General features: G+C 34.3%; 1 protein-coding gene and 1 non-coding gene across 14 annotated transcripts in view; both read right to left on the bottom strand.

The window, feature by feature from the left end:
- Nucleotides 843-25,951, bottom strand: part of SHOC2 (SHOC2 leucine rich repeat scaffold protein) — a 94,296-nt gene continuing 69,187 nt past the window's right edge. For 10 of the 13 annotated variants that reach the window (NM_001324336.2, NM_001441185.1, NM_001441184.1 and 7 more), the window contains 6 exons: nucleotides 13,963-14,093; nucleotides 9,714-9,902; nucleotides 6,855-6,977; nucleotides 5,123-5,260; nucleotides 4,678-4,795; nucleotides 843-2,898 (listed from right to left, as the gene is read on the bottom strand). In NM_001324336.2, the coding sequence (NP_001311265.1) occupies nucleotides 2,690-2,898; nucleotides 4,678-4,795; nucleotides 5,123-5,260; nucleotides 6,855-6,977; nucleotides 9,714-9,902; nucleotides 13,963-14,093 (908 nt within the window). In that variant the 3' untranslated portion in view covers nucleotides 843-2,689. The remainder of the gene's footprint in view (nucleotides 2,899-4,677; nucleotides 4,796-5,122; nucleotides 5,261-6,854; nucleotides 6,978-9,713; nucleotides 9,903-13,962; nucleotides 14,094-25,951) is intronic. The other 3 variants (NR_199808.1, NM_001441191.1, NM_001441187.1) reach the window with 2 other exon arrangements.
- Nucleotides 25,495-25,582, bottom strand: MIR548E (microRNA 548e). The gene has a single exon (NR_031614.1). It is a non-coding gene; the product is annotated as a microRNA 548e (primary transcript).

The following is a 25,951-nucleotide window of genomic DNA, read 5'->3' as shown; positions in this document are numbered from 1 at the left end:
AATTACATTTTTTAGAGATCATTCCCATTGCAATACCTACATTTTAAGTACAAATAAATGTTTTATGTGTATTTTCCCTTCCTGTATCATCTACTGTTTTCACTTGTATCTATAAAGTTCATAAATTATTTAGCACTTCCTCCTTTCTGTATAAAATAATCATGTGGGATTTAGAAAGTATTAAACTCAGAAAAGGACAGCTTGGCATTACCATTGCCATTTTTCTGCTACATATTAACAAAAAGCAAAGTTTAGAGCAATGTTTTTATAATGTAACATCCTCGGACATTCTTATTTTATTTGCTGAGTCTCATGGAGAGACTAAATATAATTTCTTTAAAGGAAAGGAAAATTTTTGGATATGCCAATTAGTCCCATTGCAGTTTCAGGAAAAAGTATTAGCTCATATGTAGTCTTCAACAATATCCCTTATTATATTCAAACTATTTAAATATTAAATATCTTGATTTCACAGGGATATCTTAATCAGAGTCCATTTTAGTTTCTTGGGAAATAATGAAATTTGTGGGCTCTCACAAGGTGACAGCCTACAGAGGATATACATTTTATACTTCTTTAAAATTTTTTATAACTTGTCATTATATTGTTTACACACAGCATGACTTCTACATGTAAGACTGATCGTTTTACATTACTGTTACAGATTAACATAAAGGTGGAACAAAAATGCTTTAAAAACCATATTTTCATTTTAAGAAACAATAACCATTTTTTTTAAGAAAAGACATTTAGTTACTACCTTTAAAGTTCAAGTCCCAACATCTTAATATATAAACACACCTGGATACGAGATTTAAAAAACCACACAAACACACAAGCTCTAGGTAGAGCTGTAATAAACAAATTCCTTTTATAAACAAAATTTTAACTGAAAAGCCACAGCAGATGGGGGGAAAAAAAAAAGAAAGGATATTACTTGGTAAAATCCAGTGACATCTACAATAGTTTTACAGCACATTTAAGCATTCTAGGGTTTTATATCTTCACCTGCCTTCCATTTCTTAGTTGATCCTTATAAAATCTCTCATTACGAACATAGGTTTGACCTCAAAACTAGTCATGAATTTGAGTGCCAGGAAAAGCAGAACAACAGTCCAAATTTCTATCTTAATATCATAGCCTTAATTCAAAAATGGTTTTGTGTAAAACACAACGCCCAACTAAATGGAAAAAAAAAAAAACACACAAGCAGCAATATGTAATTATACAAAATAGTGATTAATTATATATGAAGTGTTTTTTAGGATGACATCTAGAACGCACCTTGCTCTGAGACTCCTCAATAATCAAATTGACTTAGACCAACAATACTGCTAAGTATTAAAAGCAGTGAAGCAAAGAAAACGCATCAAATAGTACATGCACATCTTACAGAACTTCCACTGAACTCCCCAATGGCTTCTATGCAATGTGCCTCTTTTCCATAACTGTATTAACAACTACCAAGAAAGGAAAGATGAGATTAAAAGTAATGATACTGAACTGAATTGTTTGAAGCCAGTGCCCCATATGTGGGGAAAAGTGCATTTAGTTCAGCAGCAATACAGCACAGTGTGAAGATATTGTGCTTAGACACAGATATTCCAGAATTGAAAGATGTACAAGGCAAGTCAAGATATAAAACCATAGTACACTGTTAAATAACCTTGAAACATACATACATTGCAGTTTTCAAAGAAAGACATTCATGTCATTGTACAAGGATAGGAAGAAATCCTTAAAGTTACCTACTGTAGTTTATGATATAATAAATACATATCTATATAGCATTGTATATACATATATAGATTGTGTGTGTTTATATGTAATTTATTTGCCCAATTATCCTGTTAGTTTTGTGGATCTGCAACTTTCAGGAATGAAAAAACTCCTTTTCACTGCAAGTTTCTCTTCCCCCAAACTTAAAAAATATTCATACTAGAAAAGGTCTCAATACCCTTCCCCTACCCAAAGACTCACTTCAGGTATTTTGCTTCACAACTCGTCAGAGAAGCAAAATTAAAGAAATTCTAGATTTTTGACTGTATCTTTTCACTTTGCCAGTTTTTTTTTTCAACAAGCAAATACCTTTCACTGTTTACACCAGTGGATGCAAATTCTTTAGCAGAGGATTCAAACTCTAGATTTGACTGAATAAAACAGAGCAAATCAAAACAAACAAAAGAAATCCAGTGATTTACTCTGACTGTAAACAATACATAAAATTTAAATCTCAAATCTCAAAATAAGTTAAAGAAAAATTCTACTTTCAGGGCCTACAATACTATAAGGATAAAACAATTGGTAAGGGGAAAATATATATGAAAAGTTGCAACAAAAATTTTTGCCCATTATTTTTCCTAAGAGAAAGTATATCTAACTATACTACCTCTGTCCCTTAAATTTAATAACTTCATAATGTGTTGGCAAATGTTTTAAGCAAACTGGCATATCAGATTACACAACAGAAAAACATCCATCAAATTCAGCAAAGAAAACTTATATAAGCCTTTTGTACAGAATTTAAAAAAAATTCTAAATGGCTATGATTCCTCTATTAGCAGAAACACATAATGCAATTTTTATAAATCTGCCATATACCAATATCTACATAAATAGATACAGATATAGATAAGAAACATTAATGGCAGTCTATTTTTGAACAGTGTGTGGGACCAGCAGATTTATATCAGACCATGGCACGATATGGACCCTGCATCTTTAAGAACTGAATGATGAAAGAAGGCCCCCCAGCAACAATCTGAGGTGGAAGGTGACTGAGTGGACAGTTCTCAATACTCATGATTGAAAGCTTGCTGCAGAGTGCCAGCTCAAAGGGAAGGCTATGCAGGTTGGGGTTGTCATTCAAATACAGTTCTTCTAGGTTCTCCAGTGTACCTGTTTAAAAAAAAAATCAATTTTTTTTTAAAAATTAGTTGCTATTTTAAAAGTTCAACTGGGCATGATGCTGTTCTGGTCATTACATATACTGAACACACATTTCCTTTTATTCTCCTTTCTTAGCTTTAAAACTCTACAACCATGGATCTCAAATTTTGCTGCATATTCAAATCAACTTGGAAGACTTTTTAAACTCCTATATGTCCAGGTCACACTTCATACAAACTAAATTAGAACCTCCTCCTTTATGGTAGGTCTTCAAGCTTGGAGAGGTTTTTGAAAATACATATGCCCCATCTCCAGAGATTCTGTTTGGGATAGTTTGGCACATATATAACATTTACTTATATATATTTTAAAACTCCAAAGGTGAGCTTATTATATATTCAATGTCTATAACCACTTTTCTGTTGTAGATGTAACATTTTCTCAAATTAATAAATTTCTTATGTGCAAAATATTTGTTACTTAATATGAACCTTTCACTAAGAGTTATCACATATATGGCAGTAAGCCAAAAACTGACTTATGTAGACCTTTAAAAATTTTTTCTTAGGATACTTGTATTCTCTAGGAAAATGTCTCAAGCAATTAAATGAGATCAGGTGAATAAATATACTAGAAATATAGGTGTAAATTTGCCTCATGTGTTTCCAATTTTTAAATTTCAAAATTCAGAATATTTCACAGTGGCATTTATTAGAAAATAACAGAAATAATAGCTAGTATGTAATCAATTTGTTTACATGTAAGATATTATTTAAGCTTCAGAACAACCTTGTGAGAACTTCCTATTATCATCTTTATTTTACAGGTAAGAAACTTGAGGCTTAGGGAGTTTACATACCTTACCTAAAGTCACAAAGCCAATAAGCAGCAGGGCTAGATTTTGAATTGTCAATTATCTCCAAAACCATTTTTTTTTATTATACTTTAAGTTCTAGGGTACATGTACACAACGTGCAGGTTTGTTACATATGTATACATGTGCCATGGTGGTGTGCTGCACCCGTTAACTAGTCATTTACATTAGGTATATCTCCTAATGCTATCCTTCCCCCCTCCCGCTACCCCACGACAGGCCCCGGTGTGTGATGTTCCCCACCCTGTATCCAAGTGTTCTCATTGTTCAATTCCCACCTATGAGGAGAACATGCGGTGTTTACTAACCTATAGTTCCTGTGGGACAGTGCACTATAGATGGGAAAACATTAATGCATAGAATTACTAATTTAAAAGCTAACATTTAATTACCTTAATCAAGTAATTCTCTTTATAAAGCAAGATTACAACTTGCACTGTCTAAAATTCCAGGTGGTCATGTATATTACATAAAATAATGGAAATGAAAACACCTGGAAAATGTTAAGTATTCCCAAATGTTAATATTGGTTAAATATTAATATTAATTCTAAAATCTCATAAATGTTCTTTTGGCATAAAACATTACTAATTCAAGCCTGTGTAATTTTAAATTTAGAAGGAATATAAAATAACTTCTAAAATGAGGTTATACATAAAACCTATTGGAAATGTAAGTATTCCAAAACATTCTCAAATACAGTACTAATTTTAAAACCAATCCTAACAGCCTTTAGGAAACCTAACCAAAACCAATCAACAATCAACCATCGGTGCTCTATTAAAAAAAAAAATCTTAAGCCTGATATAACCTCAGTTTAAAAAACAATAGATTTGTCATATTTATCTGAAATATTGCTTGAATGCACAAGAGCAAATTATTAGTACAGAGTCAAGCATTCACAGGGTTCATACCAATTTCTTCAGGAAGGTGAGTAAGTAGGTTCTCTCCAAGGCCCAGATGTGTGAGATTAGTAAGGTGACCAATGCCTCTGGGAAGAGTGGTCAACTGGTTGTTTGTCAAGACTAATTTCTAAAAGATTTACAAAATAAAAGAGAGTTACAAATATATTTCCTACATTTAATGTAAACTGAAAATAATATGTCTAAACAATAAAATAAATTAACAGGGAAACCAGATTGGATAGAATGAGAATCACTTACATTACATATTTTTCTTTCACAAAATACCATTTGTTAGGAAAACAAAGCCAGGTTATATGAACATAAAACTCAGCCCTAATACTAGAATAGGAAAGTCTATCTGATCCAAGAATTACATCAAAATCTTAAGAGAAATGTGGAATTTGGAACAGATTCCAAAAACTTTATAAAACTACAAAATCAGCATAATGTTTACCTGTAAATCCTTAAGATATGCAATTTCATTTGGCAAGGATTCCAATTTGTTCTCTTCTAGATCCAACTCTCTTAACTTCCTAAGGTTTCCAAGACCATGGGGAAGCTTCTTTAGAAGATTGTTTGATAAGATAAGAACCTAATGAGAAATTATTGATAATGTTTAGGAAATCATGAAATGAAATTATATACTGTCATTGTGTGGCTTAAAATCTATTAAGCAATGCTAATTTTCCAAACAGTGAATATTAAGGGTGATGTTCAATTATATAACATATAAAATATTTAACTTACTTTTCTAAAAAAACACCATAGTTATTAGAAAAGAGATTTTATTTGATTATATCAAAACTAATGAAAACAAAAGAAGCAATTTAATTTTAATGAAATTTCAAAAAAATGCTCAATAGTTACAAATGTTTATCTAATAGGAAACTATTTATTCAAAATCCCTTACAAACCATTACTTAAGGAAGGTAAAAGCTACCTTCTAAACTTGCTATATCAATCCACTCTATTTATTATCTGTGGTGTTCTTATTACACTGAAAGCATCCTGGAAGATACTGAAGGGGGTTAAAATGGCAGAGAAGATAGCCTTTGTTCCGATAAAGTTACAAACTAGCAGAAAGGTAAGGAGACAATACTGGGTTGGGAGAAAGAGCAATAGGTAAAACAGATACGTAAGGTTCTGGGTAAGTTTTTATGTTCATTTATTTTCCCTAATGTTACACCACCCATAATAAATATATACAGTAAGATGGAGAAAATAATTACAGCAGTCACCACTTGATTTTACTATTTGCAAGGCACTGTACTGAATGCATTATGTGCATTATTGCATTTAATCCTAACTACAACTCTACAAGGTAGATACTCTTATTATCCCCATTTCACAGCTTAAGAAACTGAAGCTTGGGCAAGTTAAGTACATAAATATACAGAGATAATTACACTCAGCTTTGTTTGACTTCAAAGCCCATGTTTTTAGCCATTAAACCATACTATTTCACCTTATTAAATAATTTAAAAATTAGACCTTTAAAAAACATGGATATGAAGGAAATTTTAAAAAGCAATATATTTACTATTAGTAAGCATTTTCATCAAAGGGATGAAAACTCTAGGAACTCAGAAGCAGGAGAAATCATCCTTAACTGAAGAGGTGAAAATAAGATGGATCTTTAATTATGGAAAAACATACTAAAAGAAAAAAACTAAGGGGATGAGAAGAGGGCATTCTAGATACAGAAAACAATAGGACTAAAATTAGAGGGCTAGAAATAGGCATACCAGATTTACAACAAAGACAATAATCAATGAGTAAATAAAATAGCAGGTCGGTAATTAGGATGAAAAAGTATGATAAAGCATTCTAAATGACAGTCTGAGAATCGATAATTATTTTGGTAGACAATGGTGTAGTTTTTAAACAGAATAAAGAAAAAAATTGTTCTAAAAGATGCTTTTACAGAACTTTTCTTTTAGAGATATTAATACTTTATGGCACTCAAAGACACCAACTTGTAGTAGGCAAGAGAAATTCAAAAGCACTGAATCTAGACTACCTAAGTCAACACTTCATTATCCTATTAGGGTTGTATGTTTAAGTGAGTTCTAACATTTCTAATTATGACATTCACCCAAATAGAAATTGCTTATTTAAATTTGAAATTTTTAAATGAGATACGTATGGAAGGTTCTGAAGTTCTCTAATTGCTCATTTATACTAACCTCAAGAGAAACGAGACCAGACACATCCTCAGGGATCTTTGTGAGCTGATTAGTGGCTAAATTCAATTCTACCATACTGGTCCAAGTTCCAAAATCCAAGGGAAGTGATGTTAACTGATTGTCCTGGCAAAGACAAAAAGAAGCATCCAAGGTAGAATCACAAAAACAAAGTTCTATATATACCTGTCACTTCGGAAAGAGAATTCTTAATTAAACAAAATCTTATTCCCCTTTTTGATATTTAAATATAGAAAGAAAAAAAATCAGCAACAGAAAACTCTAAGCCTCCAAAGTTTTTTATACAGTAATGAGGCTTTTATTTGGGAGTTAAACTGGAAGTTTGTTCCTTATGTGATTATAATGGAAATAGAAAAACACAGTATACAGAGAAACACTGGAGATTTCAAAGATCCTATGATAAATATGATGTTTTTACAATTTCACAATATGCAGAAATCACTGAATAAAATATAAATGCTCAAATAAAGATATGAAAACAATAGAAGAAGACGCATCTAATGACAGCCCATAAGGAAACCAGAATGAGCTCAGGAATTCTTAAGGTGCTGAGCAGTAAAGTAGGGGAGGAAAAACAGTCTTAAAAAGACAGCAAATTAAATCATTAAAACACTAATCAGGTATTTACCATTTCACTTTAAAAATCCATAAGAAAAAAATGGTAAAATATATTCATCACCAAAACAGAGGAAACAGTAAATATGGTCTTAATTTGGTTTAAAAATTAGACAATGCTGTCCACAGAAAAAAAGTATGCCACTTTTATTCACTTATAAAGTATACTTTCATCAATAACAACTCGTACCACAATGTTATGTGTTAGGGGTATTGGTATTGGGAGAGGATAATCAACACCCCATCCAGCTCAATACCAACAATGTATGTCAGTATGTTAACAGTGATGCTACCTCTCAGTGGCAGTATTATTTTATATCCTTTATGTTAATCTGTATCTTTAAAATTTGCGGCCGGGCGTGGTGGCTCACGCCTGTAATCCCAGCACTTTGGGAGGCCGAGGCGGGCGGATCACGAGGTCAGGAGATCGAGACCATCCCGGCTAAAACGGTGAAACCCCGTCTCTACTAAAAATACAAAAAATTAGCCGGGCGTAGTGGCGGGCGCCTGTAGTCCCAGCTACTTGGGAGGCTGAGGCAGGAGAATGGCGTGAACCCGGGAGGCGGAGCTTGCAGTGAGCCGAGATCCCGCCACTGCACTCCAGCCTGGGTGACAGAGCGAGACTCCGTCTCAAAAACAACAACAACAAAAAAAAATTTGCTGCATTGCACATGGATTGTCTCATTTCACACAAAATGACCCATAAAAGAAATCCCAAGTAGCAAGCATCCATTTGAAAACCCACTTTTTCTTTTATTGTAATATTTAAACTTGTTATCTATGTAATATTTAAGCTTAGTACCTATCTATGCCTAAACTACTGACACTTATAGTATGATTTATAAAGTATTTTCATTTTTAAAAATTTACTACTGTTACTTACATGCAAATGCATAAACTAATGAACACCTGAACCATTGTGTTTTAAGCCTATTACTACAAAATGAATGTTCAGAATCAACACCATTACCACTGTTAAATCTCATATAACCAGACTGATTAACAAGAAATTTTACAATTGTTAAAACTGTATGAGTATCTTGAATTTCCATTAGTTTACTTATCATATACTTCCAAAGAATCATCATAAAAGATACACACCATATTTATGAGCAAGTGTGGATGAAATTTAAAAATTGTACATTTAAGATTATAGTTTAAAGAACCACAACTATGTTCAAATGGTTCATCATGACAGGAAGAATACTATCAGCTATGTGGCCAATTCAGTTACCTTCCTTGGGCCTAAAGTTTGTCCAGTACAAATTAAATCACTGAACTTGATAATTTTCCATTTGTTTTCTCCTTTTGCAATGAATTTCATTACAAAGGTGAAACTCGATCACTGTAGAGTGGGTAAGCAAAAGGAAACTAACGTTCACCCATAAATAATTCTGATCTCTAAACATTTTGGCAAAAACCAGCTATACGTATAAATATAAAGATATTTAATATACAATTAAGCATATTAAAAACAGCTTTCAAAAATTCTGGGTGGGAAGAGATTTTTTACATGCTTTAACTTTCTTCCACTTGATAAAATGAGAATATTTCAACTAGTACGTAGTGTTCTTTTAGACCAAAATATGATTTTTAATGGCTCCACAGTATTCCACTAAAGATAAACTACTTAACAAAATTAAATCTCTATTAATAAGTTGGTACCTATGAAATAGATAGCTCTGCAATACATATCCCTACAACTATACTTTTATAGACATTCATATTTCCTTTTTTGGGGGGATGGGGAACAGGGTCTTGCTCTCTTGCCTAGGCTGGAGTGCAGTGGTGCCATCATAACTCACTGCAGCCTTGAACTCCCAGGCTCAAGCCATCCTCCTGCCCTAGCCTTCCATGTAGCTGGTACCACAGGCCAGCTAATTTTTAAAAAATTTTTGCGAGACAAGGTCTCACTATATTGCCCAAGCTGGTCCTGAACTCCTAGCCTCCAGGGATCCTCCCACCTTAGCCTTCCAAAGCACTGGGATTACAGGTGCATCAGCCACTGAGCTGGACAATGATTTCTTTAGGACAAAATCCTAAGGGTATGCTCAGTTCTAAGATATTTGTTATCTGATACAAAGTACCCTGACATGTCTTATGATCAGTTTAGACCCATCAGCAAGGTACAAGTACCCACTCCCCACACAATTAGAGAAAACATAAATATTAGTGGAAGTACCAATTAAAGCAATTCCTTTCCCTAGTAAACAAATATATGCTTACCTTCATATTCAGCTTACTTAATACTTTTGCTCTGGAGAAAATTCCAAATGGAATTTTGTTGATTCGATTGTGTTCCATGTTGAGGGAATAGATGGTAGAAAACTGAGATGGACCACCCACTGGATACAACTGGAAGCAATTTCTAGCTAAGGTCAAACTATTCAGTTTCACAAGACTTGATAAAAGACTCTGTAAAAAAAATGAAATAAACATAAGAATTAGAACTGTGATGAGACTCATTTTTTATAGAACAGCAGTCCCAACACAAATGCCTCAAAGGGCTTTGGGGGGTGACAAATGACAGAGACTGGTTGGGGCAGTCTGTGACACTTCTCTACAGGGACAGTCACTACACAGTTCTAGCAGTTTGGTGCCTTGCAGAAATGTGGAACCAATGTAGACTTCCAGATTTTATAGGAGGAAACAGAAAATTTTCCCAATTTTTATTCTTTGGCTTCAATTTATTTAAAACACTGTATGGAGTAAGGAAAACATGTCTGTGTGTGAGAGGTGCCTCATGGGTGACTAATTTGAAACTTCTACATTGCAGAAACTTTAGTGTCAGACAGTCCCAGGTCTGAGCCCTGTCTCTGCCACTGGCTGTGTGACCAATCCTACCTAGTCTTAGTCATATACCTCTCTCTAAATTATTAAGATTAACATAAAGATTCCTTTTAGGAACTATTAAATTCAGTAGATGATTATGCTTCCTGATACTGTATAATACACCGCTTTTCTATATGGTAAAATTTCTGAGGGCATATATGTACCCATTAAACAAGTATTTACTTAGCACATAACCCCATCTTGCCCTACTTTAGCCTCTCACCATTTAACCAAAGTATTAAAATATTCAGGTATTACCAAAGAATCTCTGCGGTAAAGAAGATTAAGCTCTATTTATAGAAGTACATAGGTAAGAAATAATTAGAAAATAATATACGACCGTATATAATCAATAATCAATTATATATAATAGGCTCTTGCTATTCAAAGTCTGGGCCAAGGAAGAGCAATATCAGCATCCCCTGGGAGCTCGTGAGAAATGCAGACTCTTGGGCCCCACTCCCACTGAATCATAATATGCATTTTAACAAGATTCCCAGGTGATCTGCATGCTCATTAACATCTGAGAAATCCTGTACAGGCTATAAACTGTTTTGAATCCTGACTCTATCTTTAAATAGCTTGTGACTTTGGCAAGTTATTTTTCCGAACCTAGTGTATCATTTTTTAAATAATAATATTTTATGGGCCATAGTGAAGACTAAAAGCGATAAAATACATAAATAAGTTAACAATACCTAGTAGGAAGTAAGTGCTTAAATTTTAAGTCCTTTCTCTATTTAAATTCAAAGCAAGGAAAACTGGAATAACTGGAAAAATAGGATGAAAGCTGACAGTGAGCTAGATCTTGAAGGATGAAAACATTTTAAAATACTCAGAGAAATAGAAGAAACACTCTAGATTCAAAGTAAAAGCACAAGCAGGGAGAAGCAAGCACTGTATGAGGTATGTATGTTTTTAAAATAATGTTCAAACTTCAGTTGTCCACCATCAGCAAATTGAAAACTTAGTACTTGAGGTGACAGTATAATTGGCAAAGCCATCTGAAGGAATGAAGTAACTATATAATTGAGGATATAACTATACAGAGAACTGAAACTTGTTCTTTATACTGTACCTTAAGAAGCTACCCTTAAAATTTGTGTATTGTTGTACAGAAACAAAAGGAACAACAGAGGTAAAACAGTGGCAAGAAAACTGCATGGCAGTCAATTCAGGAAAAATCTCTACAGGCTACACGATTGAAAATAAAGGAGTTTTACTGAGCCTCATGGCAAAAAATGTGATTCTTTTTATTCTTACAACTGACTTACTTTATTGAATTGACTCTTATGATAAAATGTTAATACTGAGTATATTTGAGAAGGGGCAACAAGAAGCCAGCTCTTCAAGCTCTCATTTCTTAGTCACATTGTGAAGCAGGGGTTGCTTATCATTTTTTTTTTTTTGTTAGAATGAGACACATCTAGGCTTCTATTTTACACCTTCTACTAAGTTTTGTCAACTTTGGTGGATTAATTAGATAATCAATATACCTCTTACCATACTTCCAGAAAAATATTTAAAGTAACAAATTTGGCCAAAAATATAACCTCTCTTAAGCCTTATTTCGCTATCTGTTTGATGAGGATACTCCAATAACTAGTAGGTTTATGATAAAGATTAAATGAGACAATACATGTAGAGCAACTAGACTCAAGCCTTGGGAATATGTGGTTCAAATTATTAGTTCCTTTTCTATATGTATACACCTACATTAAAATAAGTCCATTTTCAGACAGTCTTCAAATGACAAAATAGTCATTTTAGCAGCTCTGATTTCAGCTATTTAATATGCCCTTATTGAAAACCACTTTCATGATTTCTTGCCTAACCCAGCTTGAGTATCTCATAAGTGCTGTCTAATGGATTTTATTGTTTTCCTTACTATAAATGCGGATAATTTCACATTTGCATTGGGACTATGCTGCTTCCAAAGCACACTGATTACTTTTAAATTATGACTTCATACTTTCCCATATTCAGTGGGACTGGGAGTGAGGCTCAAGAGTCCACATTTCTAACAAGCTCCCAGGAAAATCCGTATTTCCTAATAGGTACCCAGGAATTATTAGTTTCACTTCACTGACAATAAGACTGGATATATATCCATTTAAATTTTTTCACTTATTTTTTTTTTTTTGAGACAAAGTCTCCCTTTGTTGCCCAGGCTGGACTGCAGTGGCGTCACCTCGGCTCACTGCAATCTCTGCCTCCCGGGTTCAAGCCACAAGCCATTCCCCTACCTCAGCCTTCTGAGTAGCTGGGATTACAGGTGCCCACCACCTCACCCAGCTAATTTTTTGTATTTTTAGTGGAGACAGGGTTTTGCCATGTTGGCCAGGCTGGTCTCAAGCTCCTAACCTCAAGTGATCCGCCCGCCTGCCTCGGCCTCCCAAAGTGCTGGGATTACAAGCATGAGCTACAGCGCCTGACCTTATTAAAGAACCCTTGTTCTTAATTTGATTACACACACACATACTCAGAAAAACTACCAAGTCAAAACATAGTAGCAGCACTTACGTAAGACATTTTTGTTACAAAAAAAGACTCTGCAAAGCTCAATCAATCCATAAGTCCCCAATTCTTTTGTTACATTACTACAGAAAGACATGCTTGAACAACTATAAGCAAACATCCATTGTCGACATGCTAAAATAGGTGGGAAAAGAAAGTCAATAGTAAAAGACTAATAATGTTGATAAAGACAACTTTAAAAGAAGAGTATTATATTGGCTGGCTGTGGTGGCTCACGCCTGTAATTTCAGCACTTTGGGAGGCCGAGGAGGGTGGACCACTGGAGGTCAGGAGCTCGAGACCAGCCTGGCCAACATGGTGAAACCCCCATCTCTACTAAAAATACAAAATTAACCGGGCGTGGTAGTGCCTTTTATCCCAGCTACTTGGGAGGGTGAGGCAGGAGAATCGCTTGAACCCAGGAGGCAGAGGTTGCAGCCGAGCCAAGATCGCGCCATTGCACTCCAGCCTGGGCAACAAGAGCTAAACTCTGCCTCAAAAAAAAAAAAAAAAAGTATTATATCTTACCCAATTAATCCCTAAGCAAAATAAGTGAAAATATTTTTCTAATAGAATCAACAAAACCTAAAAATGTGTTAAAAAAAAAAAAAGATTCTGGCGATTGTTCTATACTAAATAGGCCTTAATATTATTGCATAAACAAGGTAATAATTTGAGTCACAGGAGAATTGCTGCTAATATTAATTTTGATGATAGTGCATTCTGTATCACTTATCATCTTTCTTTTTATAACTGAACTGGGTGGGGTAGCTGAATTTTAAAACCAGCCATATAGTTTTTCCTTAATACCTTTACTGTCAGTTCCCAAAATGAAATGAGAAAGATTTACATGGTGCTAAAGTAGAATACAGCACACTTACTTTCTTCCTAGTTTTTCCCTTTTTCTTTACATTAAAAAAATAATAATCATAAAACTTAATAGGTTCATATACCCATTCTTTCTTGTTTGGAGTTACTTCAGCGGTGGTGGTACATTCACAGCATACTCATTATTTAAACAATCTCAATCACCAAATTATTTACCCTGCTATAAAGATTTACTAGCTTTCCTTGAATTATCTTGCAGACTCATTTCAAATCTTGTTTTCTCTAATCCACTTCTTACCTCTGGTAAAGTAGAAATGTTATTGTTCTCTAAATTTAATTCTTCAAGTGCACTGCATTTTGCTAATGATCTGGGTATTGCTGACAGTCTGTTATATCTCAGACCAAGACGACTTAAACTGGACAGGTTTCCTGTAAACACACACAAAAAAAGAAATTTATTTTTTACAAAATCTGATGAGCCTCTCACTGTCACAGGCTATCTACTAACTATTTACAAATTACTTCAAAGTACTGTTTCAGCAAGTTCCTTAACTTCTAGCACAAGGAACTCACACTACACTATCAATTAGGATGAAATTGAAATCACTTTTATGCTCACTTGTCTCGGAGAAATAATGAAATACACAGCTGTTAAGTTAATTTTTAAATGAACGATTAGATAAAGTATTGGCATACTTTAACAAGTTAATCTTTAGATAAGGCCTAATTTAACTGCATCAAAGCAGTGTATATTTTAAACTTACAATACTTATTCCATTTGTTCTATGTTATGATGATCCAATTTAGAACAAGTGGTTATATATAAGTATGTACACGTAATTTTGGAGAAGAAATTTCCAAATTTCTAAAATGGTATTGTTTAAAATATAAATTATTTTCTGAGATCAGAAAGGTTCCATACTGAAAACTTGGCCTGATGGTAAAAAATTTCTCAACCCCCTCCCCAAAACTTACAAACCAAAGTGAAAGTTATAGTCTCTTTTATCTAAGCATATCCAGCTTGAGCACAAAATAGTCATTATCGAATAAATAAACAGAAGAGCACTTTCTTTTCTTTTCTTTCTTTTTTTTTTTTTTTTTTTTTTTGAGACTGAGTCTCACTCTATCACCCAGGCTGGAGTGCAGTGGCATAATCTTGACTCACTGCAACCTCCACCTCCCAGGTTCAAGCAATTCTCCTGCCTCAGCCTCCCAAGTAGCTGGGATTACAGGTGCCCACCACCATACCCAGCTAATTTTTGTATTTTTAGTACAGACGGGGTTTCACCATGTTGGCCAGGCTGGTCTTGAACTCCTGACCTTAAGTGATCTGCTGCCTTGGCCTCCCAAAGTGCTGGGATTACAGACGTGAGCCACTGCGCCCAGCTGAGCATTTTATTTTCTACTTTTCTTGCCAAGACTACATGGCCAACTATATATAATGAATGATGAATATAATGACATCTGCTATCATATATGGTTCAACTCAAATTCAATTCTGCAAACAATATACGTTAAAAATAAGTTAATTTTGATACAAAAAAAGCTAACAAGACAAGAATTTCATCCAATATACTATTTTGTTGTGGCTGATTAATTTCTTTTTTGACTTCAAATCACAACTGTTGCTATGAGATACTTGGATGGGCCAGGTTAAAATGTCAAATGTAGCCTTTACTTTTAAATTAAACAGTTATTTCCAGTGTTAGAAATTACAGAAGTGGAAGCCTGTGTCAACACTTAACTTTTTGGAGATAAGTATTTTGAGTCCTTTCAGCCTTCACAACCTCTTGATGTCCATTTCTCTCCTTTTGCTTTAATCATTGTTCAAAAAGCTGTCATATGATCAACTTACTTTCTTAGATGCAATATTACTACAATACTTACAGAAAACATACATTAGTCTATAGCATAAGTTAAGCCTTGACACCTTAAGAGGGCACTCCTTATGCCTCATGATCCTTATTTGGTCATCAATCATCTGCATCTTTCCTTCTTGCTGAAAGTATCAAGTGAGTGAAGTTACACATAATGAGTAATTGGAGCTAATTTTTAGCCTTTACATTTTCAAGATAAGAATCAGTCATTGATAATAAAAAAATACTCATAATTCTATGCCATAAGTTGTCAACTATAACGCAGAAAAATGTAACCACCACTTCAATTCTTCCAATTAGAACTATTCCATAGGTATGCTATACTCATTTACTAATACATCACTTTTGTACAATAGTGTTTGGAAACTGGGCCAAGAGTTTACTGGGTCTAATTAAGTGAGATTCCAACCGGCACAAAGTGGAGTACAAAAGCAACAATAAAAAACTACCACTTAGCAAAGACAAGTTAATTTAGTCTTTAAAAAGCTTTGTAAATTAACTAAGGATGCTTCACTTAGTGACTTCATCAGTGTCTTTCTGATGACACTCTGGTGAGACGTGTCAATTCCTCAGGAGAAAAAAAAAAATTGAGTGACTTTCCAAAGCCCCAGAAAATTTAGAGGTTAGAAATACGAACGAGAATATTCACTATTGCTATCACTGCGTTAGGCCAGGCATGGTGGCTCACACCTGTAATCCCAGCACTTTGGGAGGTCGAGGCAAGCGGATCACCTGAGGTCAGGAGTTCGAGACCAGTCTGGTCAACATGGTGAAACCCCATCTCTACTAAAAATACAAAATTATCCGGGCATGGTGGTGTGTGCCTATAGTCCCAGCTACTTGGGAGGCTCAGGAAGGAGAATGGCTTGAACCCAGGACGTGGAGGTTTGCCGTGAGCTCAGATTGTGCCATTGCACTCCAGCCTGGGTGGCACAGCAAGGCTTTGTCTCATTAAAAAAAAAAAAAAAGACTATAATAAAAATGTTACTTAAAAGCTGGGTTGGCAGAAAATAATTTGCTTTATGACAAAATATGTTAATTAAGTCATATATAATGGCAAAAATAGGGACAATCTAAATATTCAATAACAGAAGAATAATTATTTAAATTGGAAGCATCACAATGTAATAGAAAAACCAAAGTATTTTATATCATTTATATGTCCATGGGCAAGTTACTTAACCTCTCTGTGTCTGTTCCTTATCCATAAAGTGGAAATAATGCCACATACCTGACAGGGTAGCTCTAGGGGTTAGATATAACGTGCGTAAGATACTTAGCACCATGACTAACAGATACATAATAGATGTTCAATATATAATTTTCATTCTGTAGTATGTCTATATTCTGCAATATTCTGTACATACTAAAGTTATGTTATAAAAAGTTTTAAGATGTGAAAGACTTTCAGGTATGATGTTAAGTTGGGGGGGAAAAAGCATGATAAAATTGTGCATTTTGTATGATTTCAACAACGTAAGAAACAGGCATGCAAAAAAAGGGAAAGAAAATGTATCAAAACTAATTGTTATCTCTGCATGGCAGAATTATGGAAGAACAATTAAAAATTTGTTTCATTTTGTCTACATTTTTCCTAATTTTCTATATTTTAAAATTTAAAAACATTTTGATAAGAATAGAGCTATAGTTCTAAAGTCATTTTAATTTTTTAAAAAATTGTGACATCCTTCCACTATCCTTTTTCTTTTGGATGAATATTTTACATTACAGAGATATTTTATATAATGTGACCAATTTGCATTATATGCCTGTACATGTTTTTAATAGTATATTAGACTATATATTGCAGGTTATTTCACTTAATTCTGGCTTCTAAGTCAACTTGTTTTAAAGTTCAAAATGTAATATCTTAGCAATGCAAAGACCAAGGGGAAAATGCCAATAAACAGTATACACCATTTGCCAAATAAAGAACAAAATAAAAATGCCCAAAATTCATTTTAGAATTCCTAGTTTCCTGATACTTAACTCACTTAACTCTATGCTCTGTGATAAAGCTCTACCCACCTCTCGACAAGTGCACAGGAGCACCCACAGCACTGTGCCAATACCTCTATCATCATGATTACACCATATTATAAATGTTTATTTCATGTCTGTGTCCATTTTTACACTTAGTGAGTTATCCACTGTCAGAACTCTAGTGCAGAGCCAGACACTGGTAATATGTATTTGATGTTTACTGAAAGTTTATTATAATAAAGCAAAAATTGAGAAACATTAAAAAGGTAGGTTGTATTCTATAAAACTGTATTTTATAGAAGGGAATAAGTACATATTTATCTAGTTAAAAATGTTTTCTAGTATCAGTTTCATCCCTTCCAAGTCAGTCACAAAATTCTATTTGTATTCTCAAAATATATTTCTCATGTTTGTCCCTTCTCCAATCCCACCCTCATCATTTCTTTTTTTTTTTAAGAGACAGAGTCTGACTCTGTCGCCCATGCTGGAATGCAGTGGCGCAATCATGGCTCTCTGCAGCCTCAAACTCCCTGGCCTAAGGTGATCCTCCCACCTTAGCCTCTGGAGTAGCACGGACTACAGGCATGCACCACCACACCCAGCTAATTTTTGTATTTTTGTAGAGATAGAGTTTCGCCATGTTGCCCAGGCTGGTCTCGATCTCTATGCTAAAGTGATCCACTCACCTCAGCCTCCCAAAATGCTGGGATTACAGGCGTGAGCCACTGCACCTGGCCAAAAACATTTATACTAAAAACAACCTATTTCCTATTGTATCAAATGTAAACATTCTTTGCTAGCTTCTAGGGGTTCCCGTAATATACCTCCACCCATCAAGCTAGCTACTTATTGTTTAACTGCTGTATAATTGCATAGTGCCACACAAGACATAGTCTCTTCTCTCAAGAGGCTTACAGTACAGTGGTATATTTTCACAAATAACTATAATACTTAGTTGACTATGATAATACCCTAAAAGAAGTATGAACAAAATCTCTGAATGTTTAGAGATGGGGGAGACAACTTCCAACACAAAGGATCAAAGCTGGCTTTATAAAGAAAGTGAAAAAGTTAATCTTAGAAAGAAGGAACATCTCTGTCTCTAGGAACAGGAGAGAATGAACAAAAGATAAGCAAAGAGGGAAAATAAATGTAGAAGTAAGAAGTCTGGGCACTTTACACTGTAAGGGTCATCTTCTCCATAAAGAGAACACATAAGCTAAATTGTGAAAAAAATGAGTATGGTGGTTTTAAGTTTTAGATAGCCATCCTGTGACATTTGATAAAAAGAAATGAAAAAGATACCTAGGAAGCAGCAGTAAGAGCCATCTGAGGGTAATCAGCAGGGACTTTACCATAACATTTGTGAAGTAACTTGTCACAGTCACCAGCTAGTTGGTGAATCCAACTTGGTTGGCTCCCTATCAACAAATCTGCCTTCAAGATCTTCATTGACTTTGCTCCACTTAGCTTGTTTCCTTGTCACAGAACCATGCTGTGCTCATTCTCACCTTCATGCTGTTTGACTGTCCTCACTGTTGTGCTCATGGACTGCATTTTTCTTCCATACTGAGTCCAATGCATTTGTTCATTGAGCCATTCTTAGTCATTTTATCAAGCTCTTACCGACCTCTCTGTAAACTGGATATACCAGCACACTGTTTTCACCGTAAGTTGGCAATTAATTATATTTGGTCTTATGTTAACTGTTTCATGGATTAGTTATCTCCCTCACCAGACTGAAAACCCAGTAAGTGAGGAGCTTTGCTATACTTCTCTCCACAGAATTGGTTTCAGTGCTAAGCATACAATAGGCATTAATTCATACTTTCTTAATAATTACAGAAACTAAAACATTTCATTATTTATCCTCCTTTCCATTAGGAACAAGATACAAAAAATTATATGAAAGGCCCATAAAAATCTATTTTCTTCAACCCATTCTTATTTTATAAAATAGCATGTCTATGAAACACAGACTTTATTGGACATAATTGAAAAATATATATGTTCATCTGGTCTATCTGAATACAAATTAATCATTCTACAAATATTTGCAGGAATTTTTCTGGGATACCCAACTTCTGAGCAGTCCATGCTTAGGTATCAGCCGGGAAGGAACTACTAACAATTCCAACTTTCTGCATTCCTCCCACCCCACCACATCACTTTTAGTTATAAAATATATAAATGTATCTTCCTATTTTCCTTAGATAACCATGGTTTATAGTCTGATACATACCTATTGAGACCTGTCTCTAAACACTTATTTATATGTATAAAAATACAGGGATTTCTTATGTTTATGTGTTTGCTTTCATATAAATGAGATCATTCTATATGCTTCTCCCCTCCCCCATATAACAGATGATAGAAATATTTTTATGCTGAGTAAACACAGATATACCTCATTCTATTTAACCATTGTAAAGTGTTTCATGTCATGTGTACCATTATCTCTCCAATCATTGCTCAACTGATGGCATTTAATTTTTTAAAAAAGAATTATGTAATGAATACCCCTAGACATGTATCTTTGTGCACATGTGAAAATATTTATGTGTCAGATGATATAGATATTTAAAATTTTAATAAATAACAAAAGGCTATATCATTTTTATTTCCACTAAGAGTGAAGAATAGCCCCCATTTACTCACATCCTTGTAAAATGGGGAGGGATGGTATCAACATTTTATCCCTTGCCTATTCCATTCCTATGGCCACTGCTACAGCAAGGCCAGCAGAAGTGAACATTTTCCTCCAAGTAGTGATCATGTCTGATTACAAAGAACTTCAAAACCTTCTGATAAAATTTTAATTTCCTGTATGCAGCTGCAGATAAAATGAGGCAGCTAACCTTTAAAAAAAAAAATGGAAGTAAACAAGACCATCCCTTTTTCTCCTTTACATCACTGCTTTCCCTATGGAAGAAAGTTGATCCATTGTAACAAAATGGCTGAATCTTTCACCAAGGGGTCTTTGAAGTCTGCCATAAGAGGGGAGAATTTATTAACAGAGAGAAGTCTCCATGATCTTACTCCATCAACTGACATGCCTCATTCAATAACCCTTTACAGTATCATGGTAGATAAATACAATATTTTAAATGTTTTTTATTCTCACTGAAAACTAAAAAACTTTCTGTGGTAACAAAGGTTAGTAGGGGAACCAAATTCTAAATGTTTGTCAACTCAAAAGCCTAGTAAATAGAACCAGATTCTTGAAATTTCTCATCCAAAACCAAATAACTCTTAAGTTTCTCACTTTTAAAACCAGAGTAGGTTCCTAGAATTTAAAAATTACAAAATAAAAATAATGTAGCCAAATTGCTACATGACATTATCTAGTACCAAAACCAGTAGTAATTTAAATTAAAAGGTACCTCCACCTTTCTTGGATCTAAATTTTTTGCTTTTTGCTGGGGCGGAAGGGGTTGAATTTCTAACAATGTAATCTATGAGAATAGGCTGTTCTGATGAAGAAATCTCACATTTGCAAAGGCCCTATCACTTGAGACCACTGGCAAATTCAAAGAGTCATCCACATTTTGCCAAAGTCCATTACTCTCAGCTAAATAAAAAAGGTTAAAAAAATTAAGGATGAAATATCAAAACTCTTTTACGCCAGAAGAAAACATCAGAAGTCTGGCATTTATTGTGATTCACCCTCTGCAGTGGTTTCAGCTCTAACCCCTCTCAATGAGTGGTTTTAACCACAAACTAAACTGCAACCTAGAAATCAACACAAGCTTGCTTTAATGTTGAGCCATCTTGACTAAGAAATAAAATCATTGTTGCTGAGCTCCTGTATATAAACGTAGGCTGATCACTGCCAATCACTGGCATTTAGCTTTCAAGTGCTTAACTTTGTCTACAAATTGTTCTGTGCTCCACTTTGACAGCTTGCTTTCTCTTACGCTGTCAGATTTTTAAAATATGGTGAAATCAAATGGCTATGAATTAAAATTAGATTCTTTCAATTTCAGCAAATATAACCAGCAACTTTAGTTTAATTTAGTATAACTTTCGAGTAAGACTAATTTAAATGATCATAATCTTATTTTAACAAAGTAGCAAAAAAAATAGTAGGAAAGACTCAGGGTTGGAAGGATGAAATGTCAAAGGTACCATTATTTTTTCAGAAACATTAAACTGAAAGCAAACTGAAAAGTAAGCAACACAGAAATTCCTGAATGTTAAAAACCCAAAGAACACCACCATTAAAAAGAAAACTAGTAAAGTTGTTATACATACGCTGCACTGTAATTACCTAAAACCCAATTACTAAAATGACTAAAATGCTACTTGTTGATATAACCATAATTAATGTAACATTTCTTCAGAGCCCAGTGCAACAAAAAGGCTTCTGTGAATTGTTCTGCACTCCAGCCTTGAAGGCAAGGTTTTGTGGCACAGTTCTCTCCTAATCTCATTTTGAGAAGAAATACAAAGTAAAGTATTTTTTCCTACTTCGGACTGTTTCTTCCCTGGATTACATAAAACTACCAGAGGTACCAGAAGGCTTTAAAAAACATCAGGTTCATACTTTAAAACAAAATAACTGTTGGAATAAAGCTTAATATTTTCTTCTGTTCATAGCTAATTTCTGAATGAGAAAATATTCATATAAAATAATACTTTTTTTATTCAACAAGGCAGACTAACAGTTAAATCAGAGAAACTATAAATATGTATTTAAGCACTCTCTTACTTAACTGCAACTTGGTAATCCCCAACCCATTTCCTTCTGTCTCTTCCTCACATCCTATGAGTTGTCAGCGATACTAGCTTCTCAGCCTGGAAGTAAATGGCAGTAATTATCACAGGGGAGTGATAGTTACTCCAGGAATGTTCATGTTAAATAAAGAAAAAAGTAAAAAACATTCTGGTCTACTTATAAGAAAAAAGAAAAAAAGGAAAAGGCAAGTAAATACAGTGATTTCTGGGAAGTGATTTTAAGACAATACAAGATTTGATTTTCAGTTACAAGTTTAGGGCAAGATTCTTTAGTCCAAGGAAAAGAGAGTGGGCAGCTGCTTCCAGACTAGCATCAACTCTGCAGAACAGGTGTTGGGCTTTCTGTTTGTTTTTCATTTTAAGTTATACTTTCTCAGAACTAGAGTAGGATTTAAAAAAGGAGAAGTATCAGGAGAACCATAATTCAATTAAGTTTCCACTACTTAGGGTAAATTCTTCATCTTCAATAAATGAGAGTGAAAATCTCAAAGGTCAATTAAAACTGTTGAAATTTTTAACAGACCAAGACCCAAACGTCAAAGTTTCCCACCAAACCTCAATCTTCTGCTACATCATCAAAATACTAGGACTGGAAAGGATGGAGAAAGATAAAGTAATTATTTTAATAAACATGGTAATCGATAAATGACTACAATATCATAAAAAGTTTCAATAAATATTACTAATTTACTTTGCCATTTACTCAGAGTAACAGCTGTACTATACTTGGTGACAACCATCAAAGCATATAAAAGTAAATGCAATGTTATTTAAAATTTTCTTGTTGTTAATGTTTCAGTTCTCATTGATTTCCAATTTGTAATACTGTAATCTGGCCCTATAGAATAAGCTAGAGGTGAGGCATATGTGTTATTCTAGGATAACATCTAAACTACAAGAGATTAATAATAAAATCAAATGTTTTCATATTAGTAAACACACTTAAAACACAGAAGAATTACCTCCAATAGGACACTAATCCTACTTACTAGAAGACTGTATCATATATCACCACCTATGCTTTCTCTGTTTACCAGGATTATTCATTTCAGTACTTTAATCGCATGCCCCTTTGACTGTTATTTAACAAGTTTGAGATACAGACACATATATAAAAATATTAAATAATAAAATATTGTTAGACTATTTGAGACAGAGAAGAAGGCCGAATGAAAATCATGCTATATATATCTATCTGATCAGTTGAAGGAGCAGGCAAAGTTACACAGATATTTAGGAGAAAAGAGTTCTAAACAGAGAGATGGGAAGCACAAAGATCTCAAGGCTAGAATTTACCTGATATGTTCAAGAAACAATAAAATGTCTAGCATGTTTAATATCCTAAGATATACATAGTGACTAAACATCAATGAGAGGGATAAGAAAATCACTTGATAACATTTCAAGTATCTTAAATTTTGGTTCTCCTGTCTGATTTGCAGTAGAGTAAAGCAACATTTTGTTGTGTTTTTTTTTGTTTTTTGTTTTTGTTTTTTTTGAGCAGTAGCAAGATTTATTGCAAAGAGCGAAAGAACAAAGCTTCCACAGTGTGGAAGGGGACCCGAGTGGGTTGCCAATGCTGGCTCCGGCAGCCTGCTTTTATTCTCTTATCTGGCCCCACCCACGTCCTGCTGATTGGTAGAGCCGAGTGGCCTGTTTTGTCAGGGCGCTGATTGGTGCGTTTACAATCCCTGAGCTAGATACAAAGGTTCTCCACGTCCCCATCAGATTAGTTAGATACAGAGTTTCGACACACAGGTTCTCCAAGGCCCCACCAGAGCAGCTAGATACAGAGTGTTGATTGGTGCACTCACAAACCTTGAGCTAAACACAGGGTGCTGATTGGTGTATTTACAATCCCTGAGCTAGACATAAAGGTTCTCCACGTCCCCACCAGAGCACCTAGATACAGAGTGTCCATTGGTGCACTCACAAACCTTGAGCTAAACACAGGGTGCTGATTGGTGTATTTACAATCCCTGAGCTAGACATAAAGACTCTCCACGTCCCCACCAGACTCAGGAGCCCAGCTGGCTTCACCTAGTGGATCCCGCACCAGGGCTGCAGGTGGAGCTGCCTGCCAGTCCCGCGCCATGCGCTCGCCTTCCTCAGCCCTTGAACATTTTGTTTTTCTAAGACTAAGAATTTGGATCTTATAAAGTCATTTTTTGAAAGTGCTTTTATGTGACATTCCACTGAAAGTGATTATGATGAGATTATGCATTATTCTTTCTTTTCTTCTTTACCATTCCAATTAGTTTGTTGTTCATACTAACCAAACTTACAGATACATATTTTAATGTAAAAACATACAACACAAACTAAATATGTCACTGTGTGACATATTTACTATACTGAACACTATACTGAATATACACTGAATATATATGGCAAACAGAAAGCATATATACCCTGAATATATACTGAATATACTGAAGAACACTGTACTGAAATAAAACTTAAACCTATATGTTGAATTGGCCCAGAGTATACTAGGAAAATATGATCCTGAAAAATAAACACTGATAAATAAAATATAGTTCTTAAAATTTCAGAAATCTAGAAATAATACTTTGGCTGGCCAAGCAAAATGACTAAGTCACTTATCATGGGGAAAAAAGAAAATGGACTGGCCTCTTATTTTTGTACATTCAATTCCAGAAGAAGGTAGAACTACCTGTTAACAAGTTCTACTGAGATCCTCAAGGAAAGGCAGTTTGATCCAATTATTTTGTATCTATCTAAATTGTTCTTAAATTATAAAAGCTACACACATGCAAGAACTATAGGAGAATACTGCTCCCATGAACCATTTTTGAGCAAATGACTACCAACCAGATTGACTTCAGCCAACCAAGAAATGACTGAGGCAACTATGGCAACAGGACTGCTGATAAACATTAAGACTAAAACAAAAATGGGAATTAGTACAACAAGGTATGTTACCTATGCTGACAATGCAGTTAACAAAAATAAGAAGAAAAAGAGACTCCTCCAGAAACGGCAGAAAGTAGAATAAACTCATTGATTGCCTCATCTGTACCATGATTCATATTTATGGATCACTCCACCCAACAAAAGTAGAATACACATTAAACTGCACATGGAATACTTTTACCATGATGAAAGAATTCAAGTCCTATCAGGAATGTTCTTGACCACAATGGAGGTAAATTAGAAGTCAATAATATATCATGGAAAATTGTCAAGCTTTTGGGAACAAAATAACATTCTTCTATCAGGTTGGTGCAAAAGTAGTCTCAGTTTTTGCCTTTAAAAGTAATAGCAAAAACCGCGATTGCTTTTGTACCAACCTAATAAAGCCATAGATCACAGAAGAAACAAAAGGGTAAATTAGAAAAAACTTTTAAAAGGAAAATACAACATATCAGAATTTGTGGGATGCTGCTGAAGCAGTACTTAAGGGGAAATTTACAGTGCTAACTGTCTTTATGAGAATAATAGAAAGGTCTCAAATTAATGACCTCAAGCTGCCACCATAAGAAACTAGAAAAAGAACAAATAAAACTCAAAGTAAGCTGGTGAAATAAAGTTCAAAATGGAAATCAATGAAATAAAAACCAGAGAAACAATAGGGAAAATCAATAAAACTAAGAGAGGATCAACACAATTGATATACTTCTAACCAGAATGATTAAGAAAAAGAGAAAACATACAAATTCTTGATAT

Source organism: Homo sapiens, chromosome 10 (assembly GCF_000001405.40).
Source record: "Homo sapiens chromosome 10, GRCh38.p14 Primary Assembly".
Classification (NCBI taxonomy): domain Eukaryota; kingdom Metazoa; phylum Chordata; class Mammalia; order Primates; family Hominidae; genus Homo; species Homo sapiens.
Note: the sequence above shows the minus strand (reverse complement) of the source record. Positions and strands in the feature narration are given on the sequence as shown.